Source organism: Homo sapiens, chromosome 17 (genome assembly GCF_000001405.40).
Source record: "Homo sapiens chromosome 17, GRCh38.p14 Primary Assembly".
Classification (NCBI taxonomy): Eukaryota; Metazoa; Chordata; class Mammalia; order Primates; family Hominidae; genus Homo; species Homo sapiens.
The window spans coordinates 44,105,168-44,113,916 of record NC_000017.11 but is presented as its reverse complement, the minus strand read 5'-3'; the positions used below and the strand labels follow the sequence as shown (position 1 = coordinate 44,113,916).

General features: G+C 56.1%; 1 protein-coding gene across 13 annotated transcripts in view, besides 2 other annotated features; it reads left to right on the top strand.

Annotated features, from left to right (window-relative positions):
* The window catches only part of HDAC5 (histone deacetylase 5), a 46,889-nt gene that overhangs the window by 9,725 nt on the left and 28,415 nt on the right, over positions 1–8,749 (top strand). For 6 of the 13 annotated variants that reach the window (XM_047435054.1, XM_047435052.1, XM_047435050.1 and 3 more), the window contains exon 3: positions 3,117–3,188. In XM_047435054.1, the coding sequence (XP_047291010.1) occupies positions 3,117–3,188 (72 nt within the window). Of the gene's footprint in view, positions 1–2,651; positions 2,936–3,113; positions 3,189–8,749 lie in introns of those variants that run through there. The other 7 variants (XM_011524149.3, XM_047435048.1, NM_001015053.2 and 4 more) reach the window with 2 other exon arrangements.
* Positions 1,403–1,903: an enhancer, noted in NCBI's record as "H3K4me1 hESC enhancer chr17:42189382-42189882 (GRCh37/hg19 assembly coordinates)". NCBI's record gives its function as "activates a minimal SCP1, AML or CMV promoter by ChIP-STARR-seq in primed H9 embryonic stem cells {active_cell/tissue: H9 hESC(primed)}" and the evidence as "EXISTENCE:reporter gene assay evidence [ECO:0000049][PMID:30033119]".
* Positions 7,983–8,634: an enhancer, noted in NCBI's record as "H3K4me1 hESC enhancer chr17:42182651-42183302 (GRCh37/hg19 assembly coordinates)". NCBI's record gives its function as "activates a minimal SCP1, AML or CMV promoter by ChIP-STARR-seq in naive and primed H9 embryonic stem cells {active_cell/tissue: H9 hESC(naive and primed)}" and the evidence as "EXISTENCE:reporter gene assay evidence [ECO:0000049][PMID:30033119]".

The following is an 8,749-nucleotide window of genomic DNA, read 5'->3' as shown; positions in this document are numbered from 1 at the left end:
CTCAGGGAAGCTGGCATCTCACACTTCATCCAGGGTGCTCCTGGGCCAGCCATTGGCTTTTTCACTGCACACTAAGCAGACCTTGCTTTCTTCCCTTTGGTCAAGGTCCCCCCATCCCCACAGCCTTTGGGCTCAGGAAATGGAACCTGGAGCCAGGGTTAGGCTCTTTTCCTCCTTCAGATTCAGAGGGCTAGGAGGTCAGAGTGCAGCCTTTGAGGGAGGGGCAGAGTGAGTCTGGGGAAGACAGTCCTGGCTCTGGGTGAAGCTCATGTACCCCATGCTTGGTGGGTGCTCCATAAGGTTTGTGGGATGATACATGGGTGTGCTGGTTGGGAGAGAACGGAAAAGAGAAGTGAATTGCAAGGAGGGGGGCTAAAGCATGAAGGATTGAAGTTAGACATTAGGAGGACCTTGTATCACCTGAATCTCAGAAGAAAAAAAGACATTTGTCCCCATCCCAGATCTCCTCTCTTATTGCCTTGGAGGGTTCTGGGAATTGCACTGAGGATTTTCTGACTGTGTCTGATACTTTGCTTCCTACTTGTTGGAGGCTGTAATGGTGCTGGGAGCTGGCTCCCCAGCTCCCGGCTCCAGCCACCTCTGGGTGTCCCTGTCCTGGGTGCTACTATCTTCCCTAAGCAGGAAGTCCTGTTTCCTTCAATGTCTGGGTGCTCCAGGTTCTGGGGGCCCTGCTTTTGAGTCCTGGTAACTGACGCCTTCCTCTTCTTTAGAATAAGGCTCTCCTGCCACACTCTCCTATGCCTGGGGCAGGCAGAGAGAGCTGGGACAGGGCTAGCCAGCCCTTCTGGTTACTCCTAGCGTGGGTGGGAGGAGTCCTGGGCTGGGAGGGGTTGCTGCTCTTGGCTTTCTGGGCTCCCTTGAATCTGCTGCCCATCACCCCACTGATGGAGACCTTCCCTTCCCTTCCTCTTGAGAGGGCCTGGTTGGCCAGGATGAGGTTGGGGCAAGGGGTGGTGAACAAGATCCCCAGCCATACCCTGAATGTCCACCAGCACTAGGCCTCTGAGGGAGTACTGTTCCACTGCCCTTTTTCTAGAATCTGCCCTGGTTTAGAAGCTGCAGCTCCAGACCCCTGTTTCTTTGCTGGTCCACCACTGGGTACCCCCTGGCAACATATACATCTTGCTAGTCAAGGGCCTGGGAAAGCCTGCCTCTGCCTATAGGTGTGGTCCCCCTAATCCTCCCACTCCCAGCCTGAGGGCAGGAGACCCCTTTGCCATCCCTGACTGGCAGAAGCTGGCTGGGAAATTGGGCTCCAGGAGCCACAGCCACTGTGTCCTTGGTTGGCCAGCTTCTCCTGGGCTCCCAACAAGAGGGTGAGGTCATCCAGTCCAGAGAGAGGACAGGTGTCCCTGGCTCCATGCCTGGAGTGGGGGTCAAGGAGGGGGCTCCAAAATAGCAACTGTGACATCAGGAAGGGGGAGGGGGATATAGACACAGGAATAACCAGGCTATTAAAAGGCTCTAGTGAGGTCAGGGGGCCAAGTGGGATCTTTGTACCAGTGGGAGGCACAACCTGAGGAGCAGGGGCAGGCCAGCGGTGGGGAGGGCGGGGGAGTGCCACTGGTCCTCATGGTGCACCAGCCCCAGGACCCAGGGAGCAGGGGCTGTGCTGCCAGGCCTGAGGCTGGCTGGTGGGTAATGGCTGGATGCTGAAAAACTCTTGACTCTCCTTAGCGAGGTTCCAACCTCAAGTCTCTTCCTACTTGAGCACAGGGGTCATTGTACCTGTTAATAGAAACCCTGGGAAATGGGAGGCAGTGGAGTGTGGTGGTTAGAGCTCAGACTTGAGCCTCAGACATCCCAGCCCTGCCATGTAAGCAGCTTTATGACCTAGGGTGAGTGACTTCATCTCCCTGTGCCTCAGTTTTCCCATCTGTGCCTCTCCCAAGGTCACCACGCAGAATTAATGAGATGATGTATATGATGTTCGTAGCACTGCACCTGGCACATTGCCATGGAGGAGCTACCTGTGCTCTGAGAATTAGCAGATGTTCCCTGGTCCCTTTTCCTGGATTGGGGTGAGGAAAGGGGACCAGGGGACACCTGTCTGCCCAGGAGGAGTATCCCTACACCCTAGAAAGAAGCTGAGGCTGAGCAGCCTCTGGAGGCGACACTCCAGAATGAGCGGGAGGGAGCTGCCATTTAGCAGGTGTTTAGGGGTCTCTCTGCTGGTTGAAGGGGTGGGGAGGCACCTCTCAACTCTGTGGGAGGGCAGAAGTTAAGCAAACCTCCATGGGGCTATTAGAACTCCAGGGAAGGTGCCTGTGTGCCAGCCTCTCCTAGACCCTTCCAATTCCTTTACCTGTTCTGGAAGGCAAGAAGAAAGACGGAGGCTTGAGTCTGGCTTCTTGGTCTCCATCCCCTGGCTTGCTTGCCAAGAGTAGCAGCCAGAGCCGCTCCCAGATGCATGGGTACCCTGGCCGGCGCCCTTCCCCAGCCCAGCCTCTGGCCACCCAGCGCTGTGGCCTTGGCCCTGAGTGCAGGCCCTCCCCTGTTCCCATCCCCCTCGCCTGGCGCTTCCTCCTGGGGTAGAACCGCCTCCCCCCCCATGGGGCCTCCTGGCAGCCCGCCCGCAGCTCCCTGAGCATGCTCCACCTATTTATAGACAGGGCCCTCCCCCAACTGCTATTTCAGTCTCCTGCCAGCTGCCGGCGGCGGCTCATTCGGGAAGGAGGAGCAGGGAGCCGGGCCCAGAGCTGTCACCCAGGGTTGGGAGGGAACACAGAGCCCGCCTGCCCGCTGAGCTCCCCTTCCTGTCCCAAGTGCTCAGCCATACCCCAGCTCCCAGGAACCAGGGAGAGGCTGGTGGTCGGATGCCCCTCTAGAGCAGAGCTGGGCCTGCAGCTCTAGGGCCTCCCTGCCCCTCCTGCCGCCAGGAGTGCCCAGGCCGGATGAGGCACTTCCCTACAGTGTGGGTCCCGTCGGCAGTGGCCTGAGGGAACCTGTGCTGTGCGGGCTGCCCGACCACCTTCCCTTCGGTCTGCTCCCCGCCTCTGGCGGCCCCCTCCCTGGCATGCTGCTGGTGCCCAAGGCTCAGGGGCTCGTGGAGATGCTGCAGACCATCTATGAGACAGAATCCTGTTTCTCAGCAGATGGGATGTCAGGTCGGGAACCATCCTTGGAAATCCTGCCGCGGACTTCTCTGCACAGCATCCCTGTGACAGGTAAGTGCCTTGATGTCCCTGCCTGCCCTCTGTCATCTGGCATCCTTGTCCCTGGGCTGAGCATCTGGCCCTGAGCCTTGCACAGATAGGGTCCTGCATAGATCTGTCTTGAGAGTTTTGTTGAGAATACACAGGGCTGGGGGATCCCTGCTCAGAGAGGCCCCTGCCCTCCCTGCCCAGAGCCTGCTGCTCCCCGGTGCCCCTCCGCTGTACTCTGCTGCATCTCTTCCAGTCCCTTCAGTCTCTGGCAGGGTCGGCATCCACTGCTGGGGGCTGGGGGTTACTGGAGGATCCTGGCCTAGTTGGCACTGTGGTCAGAGGGGAGGAAGTGGGTCAGTGACCCGCCTCCATGCTGCCCGCTCCCCAAGTTTGGGCAAGGGAAGAAGGTGTAGCTGGGTGTCCACAAGAATAAAGGTTACTCCAGCTCCTCTGGCTTGGTTCTTGGGGCTACAGGATCGAGTACAGTGACTTCCGCAAGTCCCCAGCCAGGAGTCTCTTGAGAATCAGACACTTGGGGAGGCTTGGTGCAGTCATGATGGAGTTAGGCAGAGGCTGGCAGCTTGGATATTGAGGGGCTTGGCTGCCTTAGCCCCTAGCTGTCTCCCGATGGCGCTCCTCTCCCCAGGTCTGGGTTGATTCCCATCTCATGAGGATGAAGAGGTGTTACTCTGGCTCAGATGGGCTTCGGGACCCCCTAATCCTGCCACCTTCTCAGCAGGAACTTTTTTGGCTCTTGGCTAGGGGTGGGGTCCCCCAGAGCTGGGCCGCTCCTTCCCTCACTCCCAGGAACCTGTTGGCAGCATCAAGCCTTCCTGGCACAGCCTCCCCACCAGGCCGGCACCACAAGATGCTTCCTCCAGGGAGGGGCCTGCTGGACCCATGCCTGCTCAGCCCCTCCTGGCAGTGGCTTGGCACTCAAGTGTGGGTGTCTGTGTGTGTGCGTGTGAATGGGGAGTCCTTGCCTCTGGATATGTGGGTGTGCATCCCAAGCTTCAAATTGGAAAGTGGGAACTGTGTGCCTCTGCAGGTGCCTGTGATTTGGCTCTGAGCTGCCCAGGGATAAGGTTGCAGTGGGACTTGGATGTGTCAGAGCATGAATGTTTTGGGAAGATTCAAAAAATCTTTGGAACATGGCTTATCATCTGCCCAGGCAGGGATGCCCATGCAGTTTTCTCATGTAGGAGCATGACCCTGAAGACTAGCCCTGCAGGGTATCCATGCAGGCCCCGAGGATAGGGGCATTACCCTGGGGCCAGCCCTGTAGGCTGGGGTGGGGATGGGGGTGTAACCTTGGGAACCGGCTCTACAAGATACCCACGTAGTCCCCTGAGGTAGGGGCGTATGCCTGGGGGCCCCCTACACAGGTCCCTGGGATGAGGAATAAACCCAGAGGGCTGGTTCTTATCCTGGTCTGGAGTCCACAGGTCCAGCTAAAGACCCTGCCTGCTGGCCCCTAGCCCACAGCCTCTGGGACTCAAGGTGGTCTCTTGGAAGGCAGAATAATCCCAGAGCATCTGCTTGGGACAGCTCCACGCCATCTGGCTTATCAGGTCCACCCATCCTGCCCTGTCGCCTCTGTTCCTTGCTACCAGCAGCAGCCAGCAGTTGGCCGGAAGTTTCCTCCTCAGCTTGTTCATTCACCTGCTTCCAGATTGTACCCCAGAAACCTTGCAGGCTGGGACCCTGCTCTCTCATCTCCTCCCTAAGCCTGGCTGCCCCTGCATGGACTCCCAGGCAGCCCCTCTGTCCAGATCCCTGTCTCCCCACTCCACCCCCAACGCTGGCTGGCCTTCAGAGTGGTGGCTTGGTCCATGCTGGCAGGAGGGAGGCGTGAGTCACCTCAGCGGCTCGGGGAGAGGGCTAAGAATGTTCCCCCTGCGCAGCTCTGATGCTGTGTCTGTGACGCGGCTAGGGACAGATATAGGCCTGGAGCTCGGCAGCCTTGTTTTTTTTTTGTTTTTTTTTTGTTTTTTTTTTGGACTCTGGAATGTAAATAGATGTTTCAAATAGAAACACTTTAACCTTTGGGTTAAAAAAAATCCACCCCGGATAAACACGGCCATGAGGGCCCAGGCAGCCTGGTGTTTCCCTCCCCACCCCCTCTCCCCATCTCTTGATCGGTCTCCAGACAGGATGCAAGATCCTATGGCTGAAAAAGCAGGTGTCCAGGGAAGCTTCTTTGGATGGTGTGAGTTGCGCAGGTCTCCCAAGCCCAAGGGGTTGGGGCAAGGGTCTTTCGAGGGTGGTGCCTGCCTGCCACCTCCAGCAGCATCTTTAGAACCCTATTTTAGGGATAGCCTTTGCTCTCTGGGCTGTCTTGGTTGTTGCCATTGCCCAGCACCTAGCACAGTGCCTGGCACATGGATGAATGAATGTCGCATGGGGAGGGCTGGAGTCCAGAATTGCTGGCAGGATTCCTGGGCTCTATTCTGGGGCCTGGACCTCTGGGTGAATAGAGACAGCTTTAGTGAGTCACCCCAGCGGGTAAGACAGAGCCTTAGCCTACCGAAGGACAGGGGCAGTCTGCTGTTCTTGCTTAAAGAGTGGGGCGGATCTCAGCATCTGCTCTTAGCGATCAGAGGTCTTCCTTGATGGATGGGGTCTCTGCCTGGCCACCCTACCACAGCTCCCCAGTGCACAGTGGGCACCACCATCATCCCAGCTTAGTTCTGGCTTGGGGAGCCTGGGAGTTTGAACTCTAGTATGGGATTCTCAAGGACACAGAGGTGGGGAATTCTCTGCCTCCCTTATGTGGGCCCTGGATTCCCCTTTGTCTTGTACTGGGTGGAGCTGATGCCCAGACAATACGCAGGACTTTATGAGATGGCATGGAGGAGGAGTCTGCTTTTCCCATGGAGGGAGGGTGTGAATCCTGCTTGTGCCAGGAAGGAATGCTATGGACACTGGGAAGTGCCATGGGGTCCAGGTTTGGTCTTAGGGCTTTCCCTGGATATTCGTGTTCGTGCTCTTCAGTCTTTCTGGGTTTGGCTGTGTGTATAGGTATGTAGTGCCGGGAGGGTAAGAAGTGCAAGACTCAGGGGTGAGAGTGGAACTATTATAATGCACTGAGTGACAAGGCTATCAGGTACTTTCCCTGCCCTTTTTTTTTTTTTTTTTTTTTGATACGGAGTCTCCCTCTTTTGCCCAGGCTGGAGTACAGTGGCACGATCTTGGGTCACCACAGCCTCCACCTCCTGGGTTCAAGCGATTCTCCTGCCTCAGCCTCCCGAGTAGCTGGGACTACAGGCACACGCCACCGTGCCTGGCTAATTTTTGTATTTTTAGTAGAGATGGGTTTTCACTATGTTGGCCAAGCTGGTCTCGAACTCCTGACCTCGTGATCCGCCTGCCTCAGCCTCCCCACAGTGTTGGGATTGCAGGCGTGAGCCACCACGCCCGGCCCTTGCCATATCTGTTTTAGGACAGTGTTGATAGCTGTGGTGTATAATTGAGAAGGCTCAGAGAGGTTAAGGAACTTACTGGACATGGTAGCTCATACCTGTAATCCCAGCACTTTGGAAGCCTGAGGGAGGAAGATCACTTCAGGCCAGGAGTTTGAGACCAGCCTGCGCAGCATAGCCAGACCCTGTCTCTACAAAAAAATGTAAAAAAAAAAATTAATCAGGCACAGTAGCATGCACCTGTAGTTCTAGCTACTCAGGAGGCTGAGGCAGGAGGATTGCTTGAGCCCAGGAGTTTGAGGCTGCAATGAGCCATGATCACTGCATTCCAGCCTGGGCGCTATAACAAGACCCTATCTCTTAAAAAAAGGGAACCTGCCCAAGGTCACAGAGTAAGTGAGAGCTGGAATTTGAACTCAGGTGTCTGGGTAGGACCATTGCTAATCCACATAAAAGCTACTTTTGGCCGGGCTCGGTGGCTCACACCTGGAATCCCAGCACTTTGGGAGGTTGGGAGTTTGAGACCAGCCTGACCAACATGGAGAAACCCCGTCTCTACTAAAAATACAAAAAATTAGCCGACGTGGTGCATGCCTGTAATCCTAGCTACTTGGGAGGCTGAGGCAGGAGAATCGCTTGAACCTGGGAGGCAGAGGTTGCGGTGAGTCGAGATTGCGCCATTGCACTCCAGCCTGGGCAACAAGAGCAAGACTTTGCCTCAAAAAAAAAAAAAAGCTTCTTTTGTGCAGATTTTTAAAAGGTGGCCCTCTTCTGGGTAGATACGTCCTCATGCCAGTGTGCATGGCCTGGCGATTGGAGCTTGGGCTAGATGTCAGCCCCAACTCACCCCTTTAGACGAGAGCCCATGTGCAATATGCCACCTACACAGCCTTAAGTGCTGGGCCTGTCAGTGCGCGTCCACAGTTTGTGCTCCTAGAGCACAGGAACCATTCTAGCCTTGGGGGCCTCCTGGGGTTGTGAGAGGAGGCTTTGTTTTCTGTAAATACTGAGGACCACTTGGTCTGTGATCTTTCTCCCTGAGGGGATTTTAGCCCAAGGAGAGGAGGGGCTCAGGAATAAAGTTGAACACCAGCCCCCATACAACCTCCTGTGTCCCCCTCCCCCTGCCTCATCCCCTCTTCTTGTTTTTGAGACCCTCAGCTGTCCCTTCCCTGCCACACAGCTGCCAGACAGGAAATCAGATTAACTGTGTCCATGCACACAGCTGTAACAGCTGTCAGGTTGGCAGGAGGCAGCCTGGGGACGCTGTGAGGCAGTGGTTCTCAAACTTTTGGTCGCATCAGAATTAACCAAGGGAGCGTATTAAAATGCAGATTCTCAGGCCTTGACACCCTGCCCCCCCAACAAAGGTTTGGATTCTGTAGGGCAGCCCAGGAACCAGTGATTTAAACTCATGTCTCAGGTGATTCTGATGCGAGTAGACTGAGCCCATCCTTGGAGTAAGAGCTGTGTGGACATGGGTCACAGGGCCCAGCAGTCAGCCAGTAGATGTCATCAGCATCCCTGGAAGGCCTTAGTGGGTCTTGGGACTCCTGGGAGAAGGGCCTATACAGGAGGAGGGAGGCTGTCGCCCTAGAAAGAGGTGAATCCAACTCCCAGCCGCCTGTCAGTCAGGAGAGAGGATGTTTCCAGCCGCCAGGGAGCAGGTGTCTAAACCCCAGTGGAATGGGGGATTATGGCAAGCAGCCAGGTGGGCAGGGTGCCCTGCTGGACACCCAGGGCTGTGCTGTGCTTAGGGAGTGGAGGCAGATCTGCTCTGGAGCCCCTGCCATTCCACCCCAGGTGTGGAGCAAACAGTCCTAGCAATAGCTGCAGACTTTGAATGGTTAGTGTGCCTTTTACTTGCCTGTAGCTTTGTACCCAGGTATATGCTAGAAATGGCTGGACTGGGAAATGTGAGTCTATTTCTCCAGAGAGCATCCCAGGATCGACTACTAACTCTATTTGCACCAGTGAGAGATGTTTTATGCCTTCCATCAGGGCTCTGCATCCCGAGCTTAAGGTCCTTCAGAGTCACAGTCTGCCTCAAGGTTTCTGGGGGTTCCCTGCACTTGATCCCATTCTCCCCTGCACCCCTGGGCTCAGATGTTCTGGGGACCAACCAGGTGCCCTTGTCTAGACCTCTGGATCCTTAATACA